Raw genomic sequence first — 26,098 nt, 5'->3', positions numbered from 1 at the left:
AAAATTTTTATCTCCTACTCTTTGACAAATTGATCATACGTTAACCATCAGACAAACCAATAATCTTTAGCATTTGATGTGAATTTCTGTCCAACCCATTTGTAGGATCAATTGGGTCAACTGAAAAAATTTAGTGTCAAAAACAAGGATTTGTTTCTGCTTAAAAACATAGAATAATTTAGCACAAACTAACACTTTTAATTTAGGTTTCATGGACAATGAAACTAGCAAATTCAGATGACAGAAAAAATTATTACTGAGATGTTCTGATATATATATATAGAATATATACAGAGCGACTTCAAAGACACCTGGGTCAGGTGCCCCGTTGCAGGTGCCCATGGCCCGCCCTGTATGCTGTAGGAGGGGCGCGCGCCAGAAGCCCCTTCCTCGGCACTGTCAACCCGTCACCCAGCTCGGCCTGGGGCTACTCCTGGCGCTGGGCCTGCCGCTGCTGTCGTCCCTGGGAACGACCCTGGGCGCAAATATCAACCCCTTCTGCAAATGAGAGTAGCATTGTTTGGCCTACACCCACCAGCTCCAGCTCCAGTGGAGCCCTGTTTCGGGGGGCCGTCACTGCTATCATCTTGGTCCTCTGATTCCTGGCTGTCTTGTTCCTGGCAGTGGGGCTGGCACTATTGGTGCGGAAGCTTCCGGAGATGAGGCAGACGGAGGGCACCTACTGGCCCAGCAGCAAGGAGCAGTTCTCCTATGTAGCTGAGGCCTGGGCCTCTCAGTACTCCAATGAGACCGTGTGGGGCTGCCTGCACATCTAGGCCCCCTCTCCTCCATCTGTCCCCCTTCATTGCTGTGTGACCTTGGGGAAAGGCAGTGCCCTATCTGGGCAATCAGATCCACCCAGTGCTTAAGAATAGCAGGGAAGAAGGTGCTTCAAAGACTGCCCTTGAGGTCAAGGGAGTGTGGGGCTACTCACTTTTATATATTTATATAAAATTAGTAGTGAGATGTGAATATATATATGTATATATCATACAGAAAATCTCAATAAGAATTTTAAAACATGTATAGGTATTATATATGTCATATGGATATATCTCTCTCTTCCTGAGGTAAATGATTAGTTCAGTGTTCAAGTTTCAATCCACCTTAAACTGGTTGATGGGATTATGTATAATAAAAGTTGACCTGAGTCTTGGCTCAATAACTGCACTAAAATGTCTGTCAGTCTACCATGATACAATGTGTTTTTTTTTTTAATGTTTGTTTCTTACACATTTCTAATCACTCTTGATTTTGCTTGAGATAGAAACTGAATTACACACAAGAGTTTCTTTTTTTTTTTTTTTTTTTACTTCTTTAAGTTTTAGGGTACATGTGCACAACGTGCAGGTTAGTTACATATGTATACATGTGCCATGCTGGTGCGCTGCACCCACTAACTCGTCATCTAGCATTAGGTATATCTCCCAATGCTATCCCTCCCCCCTCCCCCCACCTCACCACAGTCCCCAGAGTGTGATATTCCCCTTCCTGTGTCCATGTGATCTCATTGTTCAATTCCCACCTATGAGTGAGAATATGCAGTGTTTGGTTTTTTGTTCTTGCGATAGTTTACTGAGAATGATGATTTCCAATTTCATCCATGTCCCTACAAAGGACATGAACTCATCATTTTTTATGGCTGCATAGTATTCCATGGTGTATATGTGCCATATTTTCTTAATCCAGTCTATCATTGTTGGACATTTGGGTTGGTTCCAAGTCTTTGCTATTGTGAATAGTGCCGCAATAAACATACGTGTGCATGTGTCTTTATAGCAGCATGATTTATAGTCCTTTGGGTATATACCCAGTAATGGGATGGCTGGGTCAAATGGTATTTCTAGTTCTAGATCCCTGAGGAATCGCCACACTGACTTCCACAATGGTTGAACTAGTTTACAGTCCCACCAACAGTGTAAAAGTGTTCCTATTTCTCCACATCCTCTCCAGCACCTGTTGTTTCCTGACTTTTTAATGATCGCCATTCTAAGTGGTGTGAGATGGTATCTCATTGTGGTTTTGATTTGCATTTCTCTGATGGCCAGTGATGATGAGCATTTTTTCATGTGTTTTTTGGCTGCATAAATGTCTTCTTTTGAGAAGTGTCTGTTCATGTCCTTCACCCACTTGTTGATGGGGTTGTTTGTTTTTTTCTTGTAAATTTGTTTGAGTTCATTGTAGATTCTTGATATTAGCCCTTTGTCAGATGAGTAGGTTGCGAAAATTTTCTCCCATTTTGTAGGTTGCCTGTTCACTCTGATGGTAGTTTCTTTTGCTGTGCAGAAGCTCTTTAGTTTAATTAGATCCCATTTGTCAATTTTGTCTTTTGTTGCCATTGCTTTTGGTGTTTTAGACATGAAGTCCTTGCCCATGCCTATGTCCTGAATGGTAATGCCTAGGTTTTCTTTTAGGGTTTTTATGGTTTTAGGTCTAACATTTAAGTCTTTAATCCATCTTGAATTGATTTTTGTATAAGGTGTAAGGAAGGGATCCAGTTTCAGCTTTCTACATATGGGTAGCCAGTTTTCCCAGCACCATTTATTAAATAGGGAATCCTTTCCCCATTGCTTGTTTTTCTCAGGTTTGTCAAAGATCAGATAGCTGTAGATATGCGGCGTTATTTCTGAGGGCTCTGTTCTGTTCCATTGATCTAGATCTCTGTTTTGGTACCAGTACCATGCTGTTTTGGTTACTGTAGCCTTGTAGTATAGTTTGAAGTCAGGTAGTGTGATGCCTCCAGCTTTGTTCTTTTGGCTTAGAATTGACTTGGCGATGCGGGCTCTTTTTTGGTTCCATATGAACTTTAAAGTAGTTTTTTCCAATTCTGTGAAGAAAGTCATTGGTGGCTTGGTGGGGATGGCATTAAATCTATAAATTACCTTGGGCAGTATGGCCATTTTCATGATATTGATTCTTCCTACCCATGAGCATGGAATGTTCTTCCATTTGTTTGTATCCTCTTTTATCTCATTGAGCAGTGGTTTGCAGTTCTCCTTGAAGAGGTCCTTCACATCCCTTGTAAGTTGGATTCCTAGGTATTTTATTCTCTTTGAAGCAATTGTGAATGGGAGTTCACTCATGATTTGGCTCTCTGTTTGTCTGTTGTTGGTGTATAAGAATGCTTGTGATTTTTGTACATTGATTTTGTATCCTGAGACTTTGCTGAAGTTGCTTATCAGCTTAAGGAGATTTTGGGCTGAGACAATGGGGTTTTCTAGATATACAATCATCTCATCTGCAAACAGGGACAATTGGACTTCCTCTTTTCCTAATTGAATACCCTTTATTTCCTTCTCCTGCCTAATTGCCCTGGCCAGAACTTCCAACACTATGTTGAATAGGAGTGGTGAGAGAGGGCATCCCTGTCTTGTGCCAGTTTTCAAAGGGAATGCTTCCAGTTTTTGCCCATTCAGTATGATATTGGCTGTGGGTTTGTCATAGATAGCTCTTATTATTTTGAAATATGTCCCATCAATACCTAATTTATTGAGAGTTTTTAGCATGAAGGGTTGTTGAATTTTGTCAAAGGCTTTTTCTGCATCTATTGAGATAATTATGTGGTTTTTGTCTTTGGCTCTGTTTATATGCTGGATTACATTTATTGATTTGTGTATATTGAACCAGCCTTGCATCCCAGGGATGAAGCCCACTTGATCATGGTGGATAAGCTTTTTGATGTGCTGCTGGATTCGTTTTGCCAGTATTTTATTGAGGATTTTTGCATCAATGTTCATCAAGGATATTGGTCTAAAATTCTCTTTTTTGGTTGTGTCTCTGCCCGGCTTTGGTATCAGAATGATGCTGGCCTCCTAAAATGAGTTAGGGAGGATTCCCTCTTTTTCTATTGATTGGAATAGTTTCAGAAGGAATGGTACCAGTTCCTCCTTGTACCTCTGGTAGAATTCGGCTGTGAATCCATCTGGTCCTGGACTTTTTGGTTGGTAAACTATTGATTATTGCCACAATTTCAGCTCCTGTTATTGGTCTATTCAGAGATTCAACTTCTTCCTGGTTTAGTCTTGGGAGAGTGTATGTGTCGAGGAATTTATCCATTTCTTCTAGATTTTCTAGTTTCTTTGCATAGAGGTGTTTGTAGTATTCTCTGATGGTAGTTTGTATTTCTGTGGGATTGGTGGTGATATCCCCTTTATCATTTTTTATTGTGTCTATTTGATTCTTCTCTTTTTCTTTATTAGTCTTGCTAGCGGTCTATCAATTTTGTTGATCCTTTCAAAAAACCAGCTCCTGGATTCATTAATTTTTTAAGGGTTTTTTGTGTCTCTATTTCCTTCAGTTGTGCTCTGATTTTAGTTATTTCTTTCTTTCTGCCAGCTTTTGAATGTGTTTGCTCTTGCTTTTCTAGTTCTTTTAATTGTGATGTTAGGGTGTCAATTTTGGATCTTTCCTGCTTTCTCTTGTGGGCATTTAGTGCTATAAATTTCCCTCTACACACTGCTTTGAATGCATCCCAGAGATTCTGGTATGTTGTGTCTTTGTTCTCATTGGTTTCAAAGAACATCTTTATTTCTGCCTTCATTTCGTTATGTATCCAGTAGTCATTCAGGAGCAGGTTGTTCAGTTTCCATGTAGTTGAGCGGTTTTGAGTGAGATTCTTAATCTTGAGTTCTAGTTTGATTGCACTGTGGCCTGAGAGATAGTTTGTTATAATCTCTGTCCTTTTACATTTGCTGAGGAGAGCTTTACTTCCAAGTATGTGGTCAATTTTGGAATAGGTGTGGTGTGGTGCTGAAAAAAATCTATATTCTGTTGATTTGTGGTGGAGAGTTCTGTAGATGTCTATTAGGTCCACTTGGTGCAGAGCTGAGTTCAATTCCTGGGTATCCTTGTTGACTTTCTGTCTCATTGATCTGTCTAATGTTGACAGTGGGTTGTTAAAGTCTCCCATTATTAATGTGTGGGAGTCTAAGTCTCTTTGTAGGTCACTCAGGACTTGCTTTATGAATCTGGGTGCTCCTGTATTGGGTGCATAGATATTTAGGATAGTTAGCTCTTCTTGTTGAATTGATCCCTTTACCATTATGTAATGGCCTTCTTTGTCTCTTTTGATCTTTGTTGGTTTAAAGTCTGTTTTATCAGAGACTAGGATTGCAACCCCTGCCTTTTTTTGTTTTCCATTGGCTCAGTAGATCTTCCTCCATCCTTTTGAGCCTATGTGTGTCTCTGCACGTGAGATGGGTTTCCTGAATACAGCACACTGATGGGTCTTGACTGTTTATCCAATTTGCCAGTCTGTGTCTTTTAATTAGAGCATTTAGTCCATTTACATTTAAAGTTAATATTGTTATGTGTGAATTTGATCCTGTCATATTATGATGTTAGCTGGTGATTTTGCTCGTTAGTTGATGCAGTTTCTTCCTAGTCTTGATGGTCTTTACATTTTGGCATGATTTTGCAGCGGCTGGTACCGGTTGTTCCTTTCCATGTTTAGTGCTTCCTTCAGGAGCACTTTTAGGGCAGGCCTGGTGGTGACAAAATCTCTCAGCATTTGCTTGTCTGTAAAGTATTTTATTTCTCCTTCACTTATGAAGCTTAGTTTGGCTGGATATGAAATTCTGGGTTGAAATTGTTTTCTTTAAGAATGTTGAATATTGGCCCCCACTCTCTTCTGGCTTGTAGAGATTCTGCCGAGAGATCTGCTGTTAGTCTGATGGGCTTCCCTTTGAGGGTAACCCGACCTTTCTCTCTGGCTGCCGTTAACATTTTTTCCTTCATTTCAACTTTGGTGAATCTGACAATTATGTGTCTTGGAGTTGCTCTTCTCGAGGAGTATCTTTGTGGCGTTCTCTGTATTTCCTGAATCTGAATGTTGGCCTGCCTTGCTAGATTGGGGAAGTTCTCCTGGATAATATCCTGCAGAGTGTTTTCCAACTTGGTTCCATTCTCCCCATCACTTTCAGGTACACCAATCAGACGTAGATTTGGTCTTTTCACATAGTCCCATATTTCTTGGAGGCTTTGCTCGTTTCTTTTTATTCTTTTTTCTCTAAACTTCCCTTCTTGCTTCATTTCATTCATTTCATCTTCCATTGCTGATACCCTTTCTTCCAGTTGATCACATCGGCTCCTGAGGCTTCTGCATTCTTCACGTAGTTCTCGAGCCTTGGTTTTCAGCTCCATCAGCTCCTTTAAGCACTTCTCTATATTGGTTATTCTAGTTATACATTCTTCTAAATTTTTTTCAAAGTTTTCAACTTCTTTGCCTTTGGTTTGAATGTCCTCCCGTAGCTCAGAGTAATTTGATCGTCTGAAGCCTTCTTCTCTCAGCTCGTCAAAGTCATTCTCCGTCCAGCTTTGTTCCGTTGCTGGTGAGGAACTGCGTTCCCTTGGAGGAGGAGAGGCGCTCTGCGTTTTAGAGTTTCCAGTTTTTCTGTTCTGTTTTTTCCCCATCTTTGTGGTTTTTATCTACTTTTGGTCTTTGATGATGGTGATGTACAGATGGGTTTTTGGTGTGGATGTCCTTTCTGTTTGTTAGTTTTCCTTCTAACAGACAGGACCCTCAGCTTCAGGTCTGTTGGCATACCCTGCCGTGTGAGGTGTCAGTGTGCCCCTGCTGGGGGGTGCCTCCCAGTTAGGCTGCTCGGGGGTCAGGGGTCAGGGACCCACTTGAGGAGGCAGTGTGCCAGTTCTCAGATCTCCAGCTGCATGCTGGGAGAACCAGTGCTCTCTTCAAAGCTGTCAGACAGGGACATTTAACTCTGCAGACGTTACTGCTGTCTTTTTGTTTGTCTGTGCCCTGCCCCGAGAGGTGGAGCCTACAGTTGCAGGCAGGCCTCCTTGAGCTGTGGTGGGCTCCACCCAGTTGGAGCTTCCTGGCTGCTTTGTTTACCTAATCAAGCCTGGCCAATGGCGGGCGCCCCTCCCCCAGCCTCGCTGCCGCCTTGCAGTTTGATCTCAGACTGCTGTGCTAGCAATCAGCGAGATTCCGTGGGCGTAGGACCCTCCGAGCCGGGTGCAGGATATAATCTCGTGGTGCGCCGTTTTTTAAGCTGGTCCGAAAAGCGCAATATTCGGGTGGGAGTGACCCAATTTTCCAGGTGCGTCCGTCACCCCTTTCTTTGACTTGGAAAGGGAACTCCCTGACCCCTTGCGCTTCCCAAGTGAGGCAATGCCTCGCCCTGCTTCGGCTTGCGCACGGTGCGCTCACCCACTGACCTGCGCCCACTGTCTGGCACCCCCTAGTGAGATGAACCGGGTACCTCAGATGGAAATGCAGAAATCACGCGTCTTCACTGGGAGCTGTAGACCGGAGCTGTTCCTATTCGGCCATCTTGGCTCCTCCCCCTACACACAAGAGTTTCTGTGAGTTTGGCATCTCTCAGTCAACTAGAACTAAATGTCTAGGTAATCTGAAAACTGCTGATTGATTGGAGATTTTCATTCGGATTTGCAGATTAGCTGAAAGAAGCTAAACCACTCCAGGAAGACCAAAGAAGCAAATCATACATCCAAGTTATCTGGCAACAACTTCATTGATTTAGTCAACATTGAGTAAAACAGGAAAAGGAATAGAACTTCATTGTTAACTAATCCATTCTTGAAAATAACTCACAGCCCAGCCTGTCTAAAACTGGGTGGACTGGAGGAAATTTGGTTCAAAAATTTTTGCTCCACAGGCTTTTGCAGTTCCACAGCACTTTGTATTTTCTAAGATGCTTCCAGAATCAGTACCTTGTTTGTGCTTCATGGGTAATTTGGGAAGGAGTGAGGACAGAGATAATTTCTATTTAATAAATAGATAAGAACATGAAAGCAAAAAAATGGAATGCCTTGTCCTATTTCAAGTTGTGAGTCAATGATGTACCCAGAATTGGAACATGAATATCTGACAGTTGATCTGGTTGTGTGGAAATAACTGGATAATCTATTTAATCAAGGGCCTATTCTCTGAGATGGTTCCTAACTAACTTCTTTTGGACATGACAAATATACGCATATATACGCATAAGGGGAATAACTTTAATATAACTTTATTTTCAAACTCTTCTTAACCATCTCTTCTTTCCAAATATGGTGGTGTAATTAGACTACGGCATGTATAGGTAAACTAGATTTTTGTAAGTGGCACTGAATTTGTCTTAGTCTTTCTCAAAATTCAGCAACTATATTTGTTATCTTTCATTCATCAGGATTCAGAGAGCAAAAAAATGTGTTTTAAAAAGTCTGATTTTATGAATAATTTGTGTTCATTAATAATATATAAGGAATATGTAAATATTATTCAACCACAAAAAAATCATCTTACAGGAACAACTAAGTCGGATGATCAGACCTTTCCCAATTTATTGCTGTGCCTCGTATTATGGAATATTTGTGCATTACCAGACTCAGTCAGAAAATAAAGGCAGCAACAATCACCAAAAGATGAAAAACATTCATCTTTTATGTAGCAGATTCTGATTCTGTGAAATCACCTGGCTGATTATCAGGGGATATAAGACAAAACAGAAGAGTTCATTCTTAGATTTCAGGGACTTCCAAGTAAGCTGTAGTAATAAGGTATCCTAAAAGGAAAGATCTAGGTGTCTGACAGTTGTAGGATCACATGTGAATATACTCGGACTCAAATGACAAAACAAAAAAACCATTTACTGAGCATATATTAAGGTGTGTACTGGACACTTATTATTAATAATCTCTTTCAATCTTGAACAAAACCTATGAAAACATAAATATGACTTTTTCCTCATTTTATAGGTAGGCAACTGAGACTCAAAGATAAATACCACCTAACGTTCCAAGGATAGGAGGTCAGTTTTTGAATGCATTTAGAAGGAGGGCGTCAGGGCCAGTCTTAAACATTATGCTCTTCTGTCTTTCATCGATATACTTGGAATATTCCTCTTTTGGAATTCCAGAAATATGAAAACAATTACCTTGATTGTTACCAAAAGGTTTCAACAAGTATCCATATTTAAGGGACAAACCAACTAACCAAAGTAACCAATTAGTAAAGAAATGAGGTGTGGGAATGAAATGAACATCAAGCAAAGGAATAGGTTGCTCTTCACAGATGAATCTTGTTTCCTGGAGTGTATGCATACTTACGAGACTTTTTGGTGGTAACATTGACTGGGGGGCTTGAGGGCCCTGTCCCAGCAGTGTTGTAAGCTCTTACGGAAGCAAAGTAGATGGTATTAGCTTTCAGCCCCGTGATGTTTTTGGTTGTGACATTTCCACTGACTCTAATTTTACCTATCATGGATTCTTTGGAGTCATCTGTCCAGTATAAGACCTGATAATTAAAAACCAAAACAAGCAATTTATTGTTCCCCAATAACTATCAATCATTTTTTACCAACAACTATCAACCACAACCACAAGGAATATGGGAAGAAGACAGAAGTATAGATGACAAAAACGTTTTCTAATTAAAATGGTTATACAACAACAAAATTGTTATTCTCTAATATTTATGAGGAAAAAAGTCATGAATGCAAATTCACAATGGAAATTAGAGAACGTGATTTTTTAGATTACCAAAATAAAGTATTTTATGAGCTATCTAAAGGTTACCAGCTTTAGCAAATGATGTATAACAAGTCAGACAAAAACACATTTGTATATAATCAGTCAAAGACTTTCATTATAATGTCTTGCTATTGGCATTTCTTTTCAGAGTTATTTGAATCACAGGTTAATTAATAATTCAATTTATACTGAACCCTACCTTTGCATTAGCATTGTTTTAGGTACATTGAAAAAAAAAGAGAATAAATTAAGTACCTATTTTCAAGCCCCTTATCATCTAGCTAAGAGGTTAGAATCCACAGTGTATGTGAAAATAAGTCACAGAATGCATTGCAAAGAAGTGGTATAGAAAAAATATGCTACAAGAATTTGACAAAATACATCAGGAATTGATGGGAGTAGAGCTCAGAGAGAAGAGGCGACTAGGGATGAAATTTGAGAAGTAACTAGGGTTCAGATAAGAGGTAAGGCATTCTTGGCATGGAGTGGAAAAGACACCTGTCCTGAGAGTAGAACTTTCTGTTGGAATCAGAGGATTATGGTTATATATATATATATATATGTGTGTGTGTGTGTGTATATATATATATATATATATATATGTGTATATATATGTATATATATGTGTATATATGTATATATATGTGTGTATATATAGTATGTATATGTATACGTGTGTGTGTGTGTATATATATATATATATATATAGGCAAAATTAAGAATGTTTAGGATTATACATTTATTCTAAATCCAAAGTTAAATAAATTATGTTACCCATTTTGTGAATCACTGAATTTGCAAGTTGAAAAAGATTGAGTGATGAACAACTTTCCCTTAAAATGTTCTTGTCTCTTTACTTTGTGAGATGAAGGCCTACAAATGTAATTTGCCTTATTCTTCATAGACTAAAAATAGCAGATTCAAGACAATCTAGGTATTTTTTTTCATTACTTAACTGCCTTTTCTGAGATGATTACATCTTTCCAAGTTATACTGCAATTCACAAAGCAGGTTTCTCAATGAAATTCTTCCATGGTGTAAGATGATTGAGGAGCAGACTTCACCTCTTACCAAGGGAAAAAAAAATGACTGCAATTTGAATAATTAATCATATAATCACCTGATCACTTTTGAAAAATGATGTTGTGGTAAGAACACTTAATATGAGATCTGTCCTCTTGAAAAATTTTAAGGGTACAATGCATAATTGTTGACTCTGTGTGCACAGTTGTACAGCAGATCTTTAGAGCTTACTCATCTTACTTACTGAATCTGTATGCCTTTAAAAATGGCTACTATGTGTTAATTTGTTTGCTTTGAATTACCTAGAAAGATTTCCCTTACTTTGAGGGAGGAGGCAGGACTTTACTGTGGACCAGATTGAAGACTGACTGAAACAGGGAAGAGGCTAAAGCACCTCTCCATAAGACACAACCACCAGTTCCGTATCAGTTTACCACTGCCATGGCAACACCTGGAAGTTACCATCCCTTTCTATGGCAATGGCCTGGAGGTTACCACCCTTTTTCTAGAAATTTCTGAATAACTAACTCACCCATTAATTTGCATGTAATTAGAAGTGGGTATAAATATGAGTGTAGAACTGCTTCCAAGCTGCTGCTCTTAGCACACTGCCTATGGGGTAGCCCTGCTCTGCAGAAGCAATTTCAAAACTGTAACACTGCTGCCTCAATAAAGCTGTTTTTTTTTGTTTTTGTTTTTGTTTTTGTTTTTTTACCACTGGCTCACTCTCGAATTCTGTCTTGAGCGAGGACAAGAAACATCCCAGGCTAAGCCTCTCAATGTGGGGGCTCACCTACCCTGTCTCAACTTCATTCTCTGCTTTAGCTTTAGACACACATTATCATATGCTAACAACAGGCTAGTAGGATAGGACTGTTGAATAGGAGCTATTGCGAAGTCCATTGGCACATTCATAAGCAAAAGTGAAATTAATGTGGATTACCTCATAGCCCAGCACTCTTCCAGTGTTTCTATTCCAGGCAATAGCATTCCATGAAACCTCCATTTCAGAAGCAGAAAAACTCTGGAGAGAAGTTCCCCTTGGGGCCAGTTGAGGTTCTACCATCCAGAGAAAGACATAACCATCTTTAGCAGAGTGGTTCATTGAAAATGGAACAAGGGAACACAAACTATGCATAGAGTCTCAAAGAAAACCAGAGTTGAGGACAACTTACCATCTTCCCCAGAGTAGACAATGGTCACAGTACTCAGGGATCCTTCTCCTTCATTATTATACACACCCACTTTGACTTCAAAGGGAGACAGTGGGATGATGCTTTCATTTCTGTAGACAAACCTTGATGATTCCACAGATGACACTTTCTCCTTGGACCAGGTTGTCGAGCCCACTGGCCGGAACATGATGATATATCCAAATCCCTCCCCATTCTGCAGTTCTTCTGGAATTGACTTGGGCAGAATGTGATCAATCACTGAGTATTTGCAAAAATATTTTATTAAGCTACTATAATGTTTATTGATTATTTCACATTTCTTCCATAGAGACAAATATGGATATTTATTCTGTTTAATGATGTATTAAAAAACACTTTTATTTGGAATGCCAATTAGAAAAATGATCCCAGTTAAAGATACTCAGATAAATAGTTTAAGTTTTCAGATAGAAATATAAAACAAGCTTTACATATTTATATATTTTTCTTTGATCATTCATAAATTATAATAATAAAACAGTTTAAAAGATTTTATGATACACACTCAAATGTGGTTTGATATGAATTTTTAAACTCAGCACAAATTAACTTCTTAACTATTTATTTCAAGACTAGATATGTTTTCCTTTCACAACATTTTAAACAAGTTTTTGTAAGACATGTGTAATGGAATTACTGTGAAATAACATATGCTTTAAGACACAGAATATTTCTTTAAAAAAGTATAAAAGACCTCCCATCATTTTTTTAGGCATACATCTTCATTGGTAGTGACATGTGTGCATTTTTCCTCACATGAAAGAATAAACTGTTAACTCTCACAAAGATCAGATTCTATAAAATACATTTCAAATCTAAAATTACTAAAATAGCAAAATAGAAATTGGTAATATTCCCCCTGTACTCTGCAGATACTAAAAATTGTAAACAATCACATAAACTTAGCAAATTAAAATGAATCTGTACTTGAATTTAGACCAACATATCTCCTGATGGCAAGAAACTTGTATTGAAAAATCAATGGAATTTATTTGGTTTTTCCCAAGGAAAATGCTTTGCTTTTTTTTTTTTAATAAATATTCTGACAGACTAATAAAGGCAACACCTGACAGGACACAGTGCTTCTAGTCCCTCATGTCCACAACTCCATTTCAGAGGTTCTCTTTATTCATGGGAGTCCATTTATTCTATCAATCACACTATCTACTTGCCACTTGGAACCCATGCGAGCACCAATTCACGAGCGCCAGAACCACAGGCACCGTCTTGGTGAGTATCTATGAGGGCAGAATCTCTGTACTCTACGGTGACTAACAGACCTGGTCAATTCCTCTCACAGAGTTTGCATATGAAACATGGTGGGTGGCAAAACAATGATAGATATACACAGAGCAGGCAAAAAGTAGAGAACATGGAGTAGCAGGAACAGTGAGGCAATAGAAGCTAAGAGAAAACAGATGCTGTAAATTAGAGAGAGGGCATCCAAATTAGCTGGCAGCCAGGTAGAAAACTGGAAGTAAAGGAAATGGGAGGAACTGAGGCATAAGCATGAGAGACTATTCAAGCCGGGGCTGGATCAGCAGAGGGGTTGTTGATGGTTGCCTAGAGCTCCTGTGCCCGAGTGCCCAGAGCAGTGATGAACCATGTTCCGGTTCTTCATCTGACCTTCCTGCCTGCTTGCTGAGACTTTTTTCCTGTCCTCATTACTTCCCATGTAGCTTTAAAATAAACCCCCATTACCCGAGATGACCTGAGCTGGTCTCTATTTCTTGCCATGTGGAACAGTCTAACAAATACAGAAAGTGAAAAGAGGAAGAAAAGTGCTGCTCCGGACATCTGGGGAAACAACAAAGTATTTCCTCATATTAACACTTCTCTTCTTTTTCATAGGGAGACTAGAAGTAAACCAGTTAATTTTGAATGGCATGGAAGAGATTTATAAGAATCGATGCTACTTGCTAGAGCATTTGATTCATTTCTGAAGTTTCTTTCATCTCGGATTTAATCACGATGCTTAGTCAGTTCATCTACATAAATAGGGGAGTTTTGTTTTTGTTAGTCAAGTACAATTAGTGTTTCTCATGGTGCTCTCTCAAGAAAGACCTGAGTCCAACATATGCAGATTAGAGGGGAAAAAAGAGACTTATTTAGATACTTCCCTTTATTCTTACATCAACAGAGAGTCAAATGATTAAAAAATATATATAGTTATTTAACAAGGCCAGAAAAAGAGTTTTCTTTAAGTGGAGACAGTGTTCAGTAAAATAAAGAAATTGTGAAATTCTCCTGGGAGTAAAATCTATGAAAATTGATAAACTAATAATGTAATTCTCAACCACAGTGTCTGTAAGAACCAAATCTTTAGTACAGACTAAGAATCAGCAAAACTATGTACTTCTAGCCACATCTGGCATGCAGCCTGGTTTTGAAAATAAAGGTTTTGAGACACACCCACACCTATATGTTTGTAAGTGGTATGTGGCTCTTTTGAGCTACAAAAGCAGACTGAGACATTAGAAAAGAGGTCATGTGGCCCACGAGACTGAATATTTTTACTGTCTGGCCCTTTAAATAAAAAGCGTGCCAACCCTCAGTGTAGGTATGTATCTCTTACTCTATAGTGCTTTATCCTGTGTACCTAATTTTATAGTAATATTTATGAGACATTCACCACAAGCACCTCAAACCTGGAAGTATTTGGGAGTATACACATTATGATAAAATAATGTATAAACATGCCCTTAAAAAGGAATTACCCATTGCTATATTCTAAAAATTTGATATTATGTCTAGGTTTTTGGAAACAAACCAAATCAAAACAAATAAACAAAAAATCTACATTTATTGTGTGGCTCTGGGGAAAACACGGGAAAGATATTTAGTTCAGTTCAGGCAGATTATACCACAGGGAGCCTAAATGAAGGATAATCATTAAAGTTGTCACTTATGAAACGTAATGGCAGATTGTGACTGAACTTAGAACAGTCTTGTGTCGCGCAGTGCCTTTCAAAGTCCAACAGGTACTATTTCAACTACAACAGGAGTGACATTGACCTGGGGTGGCCTCTCTACTTCCAAGTCACTTTTCAAAACGTAGTTCAGATATACTCAGTTCTGATGGTGTCTTTCCTGACCTCCTTCCAGGCTGGGTTAAGACCATTCTGTCCTCTACGCTTCTGAGCATTCAGACCTTTTCTCATCCATTTTTGTATTCCACTGATAGGAACAGAGAAGCTACCTAATAGAGTTCATTAAATTGAAGGAATTACTACCTGCATTCTGGTGGCTCAGATTCATCCTAATGTATGAATCTTCTCCTAAATATACATAACTTATTCCATAAAGAAGCTGGGCACCAGAAGAAGTTGGCTCAGTATCTGCTTGTACATAATGTCAAATATGAGTGATAAATGGGAAACCGATTTCACTAATTTACTTTCTGCAAGTATCTGCATATCAGATATCCACCCCCCACCTCCTCCTCAGGAAGAAAAAATAAACACAGAGGAAGTGGCTTTAATTTAGTTTAATTTTTAAAAATAGGGGTTAGTATGCTTTTTCTGTAGAGGGCCAGAGAGTAAACTTAAAAAAAAAATTCAACTTTTATTTTAGATTCGGGGGTACATGTGCAAGTTTGTTGCATGGATATACTGTGTGATGCTGAGGTTTGGGGTATGATGGATCCCGTCACCCAGGTAGTGAGCACAGTACCCATTAATATAGCTAGTTTTTCAACCCTCGCCCTTCCTCTCGTCACTCTAGCAGACGCTAGCGTCTATTGTTGCTACCAGATAGTAAATATTTTAAGCATTGTGGGATATATGGTCTCATGCAACAGCAAGAAAGCATCAATACATTAATGGATGTAGCTATGGGTGGATTTATTTATCAAAACAGGAAACTAGACAAATTTGTCTCATAGGTCATGGTTTGTGTACCTTTGCCTTAAAGAAAAAAGAACATTATAAATCGTGGAAAGACAGTATTCTTTGGTAATTCATGCTCATCTCTATTTAAGAATGAATGCATAGCATTTGGGCCCTCATTATAGACTGTGTACAAGCAATTGCAACAACAGCCTGTAGGAATTTCTTACCAAGGAGGAGAACAAAATAAGTTATTAAGTCAGGCAAAACTTCCTGTACACTATGATGATAATGCTTATTTGGCCTTTGATGAATATAGAAACCTAAATAAACTACTCACAAACAATTCTCTTGTAGACTCATTTGAAAGTCAGTGTTTTATGGGAAATATGTTTGGAGTAGTAGGTATAATATGGTTAACTTACTACTTAAGGTAGATATACTCAAGGACTCAGGCCCACCCTCAGCCATCACAGTGCATGAAGACAATTGGGATTGTAATACAGGATACAGTAAAAGAACAGAAAGAGAGAACCCTGTGTTCAAATGCTTCTCTGCCCAATGATGTCACTTTTCTAAGTCTCAGTTTTCTTACTTGAAAGTGGTATAACCACCTTATAGCATTATTGTGGGGACTGAATGATATGAAATGCTCTGTGTGGCACCTGAAATCCTGTAAATGCTTGAAAAAATAGGGTTTCCCCCTCTGTCTGGCCTCTGAGAGTTCCAACTCTCTGAAAACACTACCTTCCATTCAACAAGTGTTCATGGAGGGTGGACCACTTTCCAAGCACTGTGCTAGGCCTATAATGTCCACATGAAACAAGATATCCAGAGGAAAGGGTGACTTTCAGGGCAATTGCATCTAGTTTCTGACACTGTCATTTATAACCATAAAGAATAACGTCTCTGGTTCCCAGTTATCTCTCATAGCCTAGCTATGTGAAGTAGGCTACAGCAAGAAACACCTGGTTTGCATTTCCTGGAACATAAGGGACGCAGGTTCATTTAACTGACAAATGTCTGAGAAATTTAAAGTGGGGAAGAGATCCAGACAGCCCACGGTGGCAGAGTGAAGAGAGATGCTAAGTGGGTATGCATTGCACTTCCGCTAAACATGGAGCAGGGTATGTGTCTGCTGAGGACAAATGTGAAACCCATGCAAGTGGGTCATCCATGGACAGCCTTCAAGGGGACTCTATCCACAAAGACCACCTACAAGAGAGAGAATATTCACTGGAAGAGTCTGGAAATGGACCACCAAAATCCAGGAACTGATACCCTTCAGCAGCCAGTTGGGTCTGCACCAAGGAATTGCAGTTGGGAGTCCTTGGTGGGGGATCATCCAGTGGCCATCTCCCAGATAAAAAATAAATTAAAAAACGCAGAAACCCTACCCTATGAAATGGCAGCGTCTGATAATTTGCCATAACTAGAGCACACCAAAGTCAAACGAGAAATGTACCAGCAATCCAGACCTTTTCCTTTCTCCTCCCCTACCAACACCAACCTTCTACAGCTCTGGAGAATCCAGAGGTAACACTGTGAATGGGGAAAGATAAATTAAAGAGCAGAATGGAGAGAAGTTGAACTGACCACGTATTCCCTTTCACGCTATAGAATTCTTAGGCTGAGGCACTGAGATACTGAAAATGAGAAACTTTAAATTGGTTGAAAGTCTAAATTCTAACGTTTATACTCCAGTTTGAAGTGTACACACCAGACTGAAATTTTTAATAAGGTAAAAAAATGAGCCTGTATGTTAATGGGTAATAAGAATGACCACAAAATCTACTCCATGTGCCTAAGCTTTCATCTAGATGCAGGGAAGAATGAGTTGATCAGAGGTGAACAGCAGGGTTAGGACAAGAACTATTTTTTGCCTACAGTCTACTGGGCTCAACTTATTCACAATACAACAGTGCCACAGGTAACAAATCAAACAATGCCTAATTCATCAAGCGATAACGAAAATGCTACTGACACACGCTCAATAGATACTGAAGTTGTTTTTCGTGTATTTGGGAGAAAATTGTGCTGAGTTCGTCATACTGTCTCACCATGAGAAAAGTTCCTAATACCTCCTCTAAATAATTCATCATCAGGATGATGTATTTTTATACCATATTTTTTTACGCTCTCAATAGTGATCAAATAAATCTTTTTGTTTTTCAGTTTCTTTCTGGCCAGTTAAATCTCTTTTCTTCAAAATAACTCAGTTGGACAGAAAATTACCTCCCACGTAATGACGAGTTCAGACCGACTTCCTCCACCTCCATGGATGTTTACTGGTGCCACAACAGGGACTAAAAATAACCAAGAGAAATGTGGGATGGCAATTATTAAAGTACGTCTTCATCAGGAAGAATTTTGTTTTTGAATTTCACTTTTCAAAATCTCACACAGGCATACTGTGAGAGAGTCTTGCATTTTTAATGAACGTAAATTATGTTTACACATATCCAAATTTCTAAGAGAGAGGACACAGTTGTGTTTGATACATGAGCACCCTGGCTCCAAAATTAATTAAAAATTGAGTAACATCGGGTATTTGACATCATTATGCATCATCTACTAATTGGCAAAATGATGTTCCATTCAGATGGTGACAGTGACACTGCTGATTTAGTGCCTAATTATACAGTTGAGCTGTAAACAAGTTACTGAGGCAGTATATTAATTATTTTTTTTCAATAAACAAACTAAACTAATTTTTCCTTTTATTAGTCATCAGGATATTTTACCAGTTAAAATTAAATACTGAAAAATATGTAAATAAATATTCTTGTTTTAAAACTCCTCGTTACAATCTCAAATCTCTCGGGAGAGAAGAAGAGGGATTTTCTTCTAACTTTTCACTTGCAAAGTCAGGTTTTTCTCCTGTCAAGAATGCGACTGGGAGAGGTTCTTTCTATTTATTTCTTGGGATCTAAGGCTCTGTGGTAGAGGATTCAGAAACCAGTAATTTTGATGAGTTTTAAAAAACTATGCCCTTCAACTCTGTATCCTTGTAAGGACTAACACAATGAATAATAGATCATAGAAACTGTAAAACTGAGGAAATGCTGAGTGTGTATATGGTATTGTAGTGCCTCACGAGAATGAGGTTTTACTTTACACATGCGTAAGTGTTTAAAAGCATTATTTTTCTTGACGTAATGACAAAAGTATCCTAAATCTGTGATAATCGCTAAATCAGCAGGGTATACTTTTTAAATGTGGAATTACATGAAATTGTCTATACTGGACCATGTCTGAACAATAGGAGAGGTGGTTGGTTGAGGAGGCACTTGGATATGTCTGGGGATTGGTAGGCAGGGATTAAAATATGTAAGTTTTAATTCCTCATTTCAAATTTTTCCCCACCATATAGACCACCTAAATAAATCTAGATTGCTTATTTTATTTATTTCCATTTCATACTGATGTTTAGCTCTATAAACATGACCAGAAAATAGTCATATGATAATCTGATTGTTCTTTTTCAAAATTGCACCTTTCAGATATACCTTTTCGTATTTAAATTTACCCTTAACTTTGTCAGCTTTAAGCTTCATAATTTTTTAGAAAGAAGTTATGTGAACCTAAACCTTATTTTCTAAGACTTCCAATGCCTTTGATCAAAAGCGATGTGAATCAGAGTGGATTTTACAGAGTTGCTGAATTTATAGTGCTTGACAGCTTAGAGTGACTAACTGCACACTATCTCAGGATCTTTGCATAGTTTAGCTGTGTAAGGAAAAGTATTTTGAATTATATTTTGATTTACTTTCTACAAAGTTTCCAATGTTCTGAGAAATAGAAAATTCCTTTCCCTATTCAATTTTAAATTAATTGTACTTAAGCCTAAAACCATATTGAGAACAAGTTGTTAGTCTTTGATGATGTCAGAGACAGAGAGGGAGAGACGAGAGACTCAGTAGGTTTTCAGTTAGTAGAGTTTGACTCAGTGGGTATGAATATCACCAGTCTCATTCTGCTACTGAAACAAGAGAGTATTAATGGTTAGAAGGTGGCACACAAACTTTGCTATGAAAATGTAAGAGTTTCTGTCAACCCTGTCCAAAGCTACCAAAATATAAATCAACTGTAAACAAACAACCTGAAACTAAAGCTCATATCCAGAGTCATGGACAACACCTGAAGATTCTGATCCAGGGGGTATATAGGAGGGCCGGGGAATTTCTATATTTACACACTTTCTTTGGCTAATCTATTGCTCATCTACATTAAGATCCTCTTTTATGGAGAATGCTGGGTGTAAAAATCAGGAGGTTTGGATTCAAAACCTAGCTCTGTCACAAACAACCAGCTAATATCCTGGTGTTCATTTTCCTCTTCTGTAAAACAAAGGGATTTCCTCTCAGCTGTAAGCTTCTAGCGTGATTTAATTGGATGATATCACTGTCAAGTATGTCCTTTTTCTAGCCCCAATTCTATGATAAACATATAACATTATCTTTAGTTTAAGGATTGATTTATTGACTTCTGACAATTGTGCACACTTTAATAAGGTAATTTGTGTTTGTTAAATTAAGCTAGCCATGACAAGTGATCCTTTGTTTATGTGATCGAATAAGAATGTGAACTTTGTGGGCTATATACAGCTAGCAGATTAAATGTCACCCTGGATGTAAAAGTTTGAGTGGAACAAAGAGGATCCATTGAAAAGAGCTTAAGAAGGCATGGTATCTGATCCAGGTTCTTGCGTTCTGCTGTTCAGTGAACCAATTAATGCTCAATTAGTGCCCCTGTTAAATGAGCTTAGGATTTACCTCATTTGCATGGAAAAAAATTTATACTACTGCTCAGTGAAGCTACAACTAGTTCAGAGTTGAGAAATAGATGAAAATATATGGCTGACTGCACCAACAGAGTCTCAGTTAATTCCTGGCTACAACATTTTAATGAAACAAGCAGTAACTCATTTGCATATACAAATCTACAGATTCTCTAATGAATTTTGACTAGAAAATAGATGCGATGCAAACACAGTTTCCTAAGAACTCTGATTTTGACATGTTGGCTTAAAGGTAATCATTTCTTATTGAACCTACTATTTGGAGAAAATACACCTTGCCTTGTGTATGTAAAAATAAAAGAAAATGAGAGCCACTCGTTTACTGCCAAACAATTTTGAGCCAAAAGTATTAGAAGACACATAAAAATACTTGTTTTGTTTTAAGAACTGTATCATACGAAATCTTCCACACTTTTAGAACACATTGATTCTTTACCTGATGCTTTAGTTCTTAACAATTCTGATGGTTCACTTGGTTCTCCAATCCCAATGCTGTTGCCGGCAACAACACGAAATTCATATTCCACCCAAGGACTCAAACCAACCACTGTTGCATTGTATGTCTTACCATTGAGAATTTCTGGAACTAAAAAGAATGAGACACTAAGGCACCTAGGTTGGGACTACTCAAAAACAAATAATTGTACAAAATTATATAATTATTAATTTAAAATGTAATTGCATTTATTAAAATTATTGGACTAAAATATTATTTTTAAAGTGACCCAAAACACTTTTGTCACTCACCTGTAGCAACAGCCTGCCAACCCACAGAAAATGGTGTCCGAGTCTGAATAGTAAATATTTGAATGGGACTGTTATTATCTGGGCCTGCTCTCCAACTTAGTTGAGAAGTAGTACTGGAAATGTCTTCCACTTGCACATCCTCAGGAGGACCTGGTGGACCTTGAAAAAAATGTTTTATCATGACTCCATTGGAGATACTTACATTCATTAATTTGGTACTAGGATGGTTTATTTTTACCTGTTGTGCTTAGGAAGTAAAATATTGACCATAATGTATTTATAGCACATTATTAGCGATAAAGTTCTATTAATTCCCTTTACATGGTAAATGACATTAATGTAGTAGTGCTTCCTCTGGAGATTAGAAAATATCAGGCATAGGATGATTGCATATCAACCTATACTCAAAGATTGAGAACCATCATCTTTAATTCCTCTTAAAATCTAACTCAAGTAATTGCAGCTAATATGAAGAACTACAGGAGCATGTGGATTTGACTCTGGATTGACAAGAATGATTTATTATAAACAGAAGGTATGTCTAAGTTTTAGTTACTGACACCGCTTGCCAAGCGTGACCGTTCATGATAGTCAAATCCTACACAGTTCCATGTCTGTATTCACACAGTTCCATGTCTGTATTCACACTACCCATACCATGGAGTCCTGGGGTTTAAAAAATAAAACTCTATCTGATTACATCTCACTTCCATAACATGGTGTGGTTTCTCAGAGGTCTACAATTTAGATATGAACACTGTAACTGTGAAGAAACAATGTGATCACTTTTTCACCATTTATGCTTACCTCTAACAATGATATCGGCTACTGCAGATAAACTTTCTAGGGTTGTTTGTACTGTGCAGAGATATTTTCCTGAATGATGTAACTGAATATTCCTTATCATCAAATCCCCAACAGATTCCTGCAGACAGAAAGGGAGAAATGGATAAAAACGTAAGCCCATATAACAAGTCCTACTTTATTGTTACAGCTGGATAAATACGAAACATAAAACAACTCTGAAATTAAAAGATATACTAGTATCATTGTCATTTCTTGTATCTAAACCCTTTTATTATCCCCCTTATTATAATTACATCTAGAAAACAAGTATTTCTACGGAAGACACGAAACAAAATAAACCAAAACAAAAACAAATGTAGCTTCAAAAACAGTCAGTGATTATCCATGCAAATAAAGATGGAGAGAGTAACTATGAAAAATGGTGATTCATGTAAAAGACTTGATTCATTTTATTAAGCACTTAACAATTTCAGTAACTTACTCCTCCAATCCTTTCAAAATGAGCCACTCCTTTTTTTAAGTCTATGACATCTCCATTGAAAAACCATACAAATACCACTTCAATGGAGGGGTCATGGGACACCTGGCATGGTAGCACTATACTCTCGCCAACTGTAACATCCATTTTGGAAGGTGGGACGGTAATGACAGTTCTCTCTGTTGAGAAAAAAAATTATTTTTTAAAGCTTATGAAATGCTAGCCTATGGTTATAAAATACATATTTCTGAATACTTTATCATTCATTTGAAATTATATAAATGCAACCTGGAGTTCTACAATGTCCAGTATGAAATATTCCTTTGCCTGTTTTTAAATGTCTTGTATTTATTATTGTAGCTTATTACTTATACTAAAATTAAAAATATATTCACACCTTATATGAAAATAGTTTACAGAAAACTGTAGACCTCAAAAAATGGCATTCCATATATACAGGATGCACTGCATTGTTTTTGTTATATTTTATTCTAACATTTTAGTCATAACATTACAATTGACACACTGGTAACAGCTCTAAATGCTCTCTGTTAACTTCATATACCATGAGACAAACCATGTTTCTAAGATTATGACCACCATAGTTTCTATAGAGATTTAGACATACGTTTATATTTAAGAGGGTGAATGCAACATAATTATTCTGTCTTTGACGTAGCTCTAATTTTCTTTTTGTTAAAGATGCAACATGAATAGGGAAGATGGAAGTTTTCCCTTTAATAATTCAGATTTTCCAGTGTTAAAATTATGCATCCATCATAAAAACCTTCCCTCTAGAAATGTTCTCTATGTCAATCTTTCTTTTACAAGACCTAGCATTTCATTGACCAAAATTTCAAAGGACAATCCCAGGGTGTGCCAGTTGTACTTGAGAGTCCTATATTTGTTCAGATTAAAAGAGACTCACAATGTAGATCGTTATGACTACTTCGTTTATAATAAAGTTCTGATTCCAGAGAGTTGAGAATTCATCAAAGAGCAACTCAATATCTATGAAGGGGCCCTGGACAAATATTTGGATTTAGATATGTACCATCTTACCAAGAATAAATTGTTTTGAAAGATTTACATTTAAGAATAAAGGTTTTAGGCAAGTTATTGTAAAAAAAAAATTATACATGAAGAAGTTTAAAAATAGTGAAATGACCCATGGAGAATCTATTTCTCCATGGGTAATTTATAAGATAAAGTTTAGCTCTCTAAGAAATGGACTAAAATCTTCACTTTCTTCTACCTTCTTCATTCTGCTCAAGAAACCAAACTAACATTGAGATTGCATTTATATGTTCACAATGATTAATGTGTAACTGCATTTTACCAATAGAATGTTTAGTTATTATTTGACCATTTAAACATTTTTAATTGTTTTCTTCATTCATAAATATTTAGAAGTAGAAAGTAGGAAGTAATAATTTGGGGTTTTAAGGTACATACTGACAAAAGAGCCATGAAAAAATAAAAACACACGCTATAGTTCTGAATATGAATATAATAGAGAAAATCAAACTCATTCTGTATCAAATATGTCTTCATTTTTTATTATTTAAAATACTTTCCATATTTATATTAGATGCATGTACTTTTTTTTACTTTTGTTATTATTATTTTTGAGATGGAGTCTCGCTCCGTCACCCAGGCTAGAGTGCAGTGATGCCATCTTAGCTCATTGCAACCTCCGCCTCCCAGATTCAAGAGATTCTCCTGCCTCAGCCTCCTGAGTAGCTGGCATTACAGGCACGCACCACCATGCCAGGTAAATTTTTGTATTTTTGCAGAGACAGAGTTTCACCATGTTGGCCAGGTGGTCTCAAACTCCTGACATCAAGTGATCCACCTGACTTGGCCTCCCAAGTGCTGAGATTACAGGCGTTAATCACTGCACCTAACCAGATGCATGCACTTTATATTCTAATTTTGTCTAAGGAGAAATTTAAAGAATGATTTTGTGGACTATGCCCATTCTTAATTCCAAGGCTTCTTCACAGATTTGCAACCAAAATAAGGGTAAAAGATATCCAGGGATCCATGTTGGTGTGCTGCACCCATTAACTCGTCATTTAGCATTAGGTATATCTCTTAATGCTATCCCTCCCCGCTCCCCACACTCCACAATAGTCCCCGGTGTGTGATGTTCCCCTTCCTGTGTCCATGTGTTCTCATTGTTCAATTCCCACGTTGTGCACATGTACCCTAAAACTTAAAGTATACTAATAATAAAATTAAAAAAAAAGAAAGAAAAAGAAGAGAGATGGAGGAGAAACCAATAGATTAAAAAAAAACTTGGCCAACTGCCATGTATGGATCTTATTGGGTTCTTTCTTTTTTTTGGATCTTATTGGATTCTAATCAAAGAATAAACTAGTAGAAAATAAAAAAAGATACACATTAAATTATTAAGTTTGTTACATTAGCAAGGTGAAGTTGAAGGGTAAGAGAAAGAGAGGGAATCATTATTACTTTATATACTTTAGACTTTGAATTTAAAAAGCTTGTATTGTTTTGTAATTTAATTGACTGAAATAAAATGTATGAAGAATTGAGGAAATGTATGACCTAAAAAACTTAAAAACATAAATGAATAAAGTGTGATTGAACCTTAAAAAAAAAAAAGATATCCAGGGATCCAAGAAAATTTTTTAGAACTAGAGAAAATATTTTCCTTTTGTAGTTACTCTGAAAAAAAAAATCACAAATGTCTTATTTACATTTATAGGAGGATAAGTTGGCTAACTGGATGTGTTGACAGAGCAAAACTGCCCAGATTTAAAGTTTTAGATCATGCAATTAAAGTAATTTTCAGACATTAAAAATGACAGCAAGTCCTTCCATTTATGACACCACATAGTGGCAAAGTTGGACAAATTATTCCCTATCTACATAGCTCATTGTTGTACAGTAATAATGATGAAAGCTTTATGAATAAGAAATGTTTATTTCATCACTTATAATGGTTACATTTTTCACTAGTTAACTCATTTGTAACTAATATTTATTGAGCATGTAATGTATGTCCAATCCTATGCTAAGTACTGGAGTCAAGATAGGGAAGAAAATGAGGAAAAAAAAAAAAAAAAACCCGCAGCAAGTCAAAAAGATAAGGAGTGTTGCTTCACAGAGATGAACGTCTACAAAAGGAAGCTAGCATGAATCCAATCATATTAGTTACTATACAGTAATGTGTGATAAGCACCATATACTAGAAGTGACTTGTTTGAAATGTTTGGCAAATCCTGAGGGGATCAGTTTATGGAGAAAGAACTGTTTTCGCTGAGAAGTAAAAGGCAAGTAGTAGTGAGCTGGGTAAAGGTAGCAGGTAGAGAGAGGAAACTAGATTTCCTGCGCAGGCAAGAGCGTTCACAGAGAAACTGTGTGAAAAAGAACTGTGATCGGCAGACTCCGTGCAACCATGTGCTGAAAATGAAAGGATTAAACACAGAGTAATAGAGGAGTGAAAGCGAAGAAGATGAAGCTGGAGGATAGCCTTGGTCAGGATATAAGCCACAAACGTCATTAAGGTCAGCTACATAATTTGTGGGTCCAAGTGCAAAATGAAAGCGTGGGGTGTCTTTTTTGAAAAAGAGGAAAAAGTGTCATTAAAGGTATTAAATACAAAGCTTTTCGCTTTAAAATAATTTATAACTTATAAAATAAAATTAGGGTATGATTCATAGATGAGTGATGACATACA

General features: G+C 37.4%; 1 protein-coding gene and 1 pseudogene across 22 annotated transcripts in view; one reads left to right on the top strand and one right to left on the bottom strand.

Annotated features, from left to right (window-relative positions):
- CNTN6 (contactin 6) overlaps positions 1 to 26,098 on the bottom strand; it is a 311,194-nt gene that overhangs the window by 9,351 nt on the left and 275,745 nt on the right. For 21 of the 22 annotated variants that reach the window (XM_011533590.3, NM_001349351.2, NM_001349354.2 and 18 more), the window contains 8 exons: positions 22,393 to 22,568; positions 21,912 to 22,029; positions 21,105 to 21,263; positions 20,794 to 20,943; positions 17,792 to 17,862; positions 11,691 to 11,925; positions 11,459 to 11,574; positions 9,070 to 9,256 (listed from right to left, as the gene is read on the bottom strand). In XM_011533590.3, coding sequence (XP_011531892.1) covers positions 9,070 to 9,256; positions 11,459 to 11,574; positions 11,691 to 11,925; positions 17,792 to 17,862; positions 20,794 to 20,943; positions 21,105 to 21,263; positions 21,912 to 22,029; positions 22,393 to 22,568 — 1,212 coding nt within the window. Of the gene's footprint in view, positions 1 to 9,069; positions 9,257 to 11,458; positions 11,575 to 11,690; positions 11,926 to 17,791; positions 17,863 to 20,793; positions 20,944 to 21,104; positions 21,264 to 21,911; positions 22,030 to 22,392; positions 22,569 to 26,098 lie in introns of those variants that run through there. The other variant, XM_047447974.1, reaches the window with a different exon arrangement.
- CRB3P1 (crumbs cell polarity complex component 3 pseudogene 1) lies at positions 419 to 694 on the top strand (annotated as a pseudogene).

Source organism: Homo sapiens, chromosome 3 (assembly GCF_000001405.40).
Source record: "Homo sapiens chromosome 3, GRCh38.p14 Primary Assembly".
Classification (NCBI taxonomy): domain Eukaryota; kingdom Metazoa; phylum Chordata; class Mammalia; order Primates; family Hominidae; genus Homo; species Homo sapiens.
This window is presented reverse-complemented; position numbering and strand designations above follow the sequence as displayed.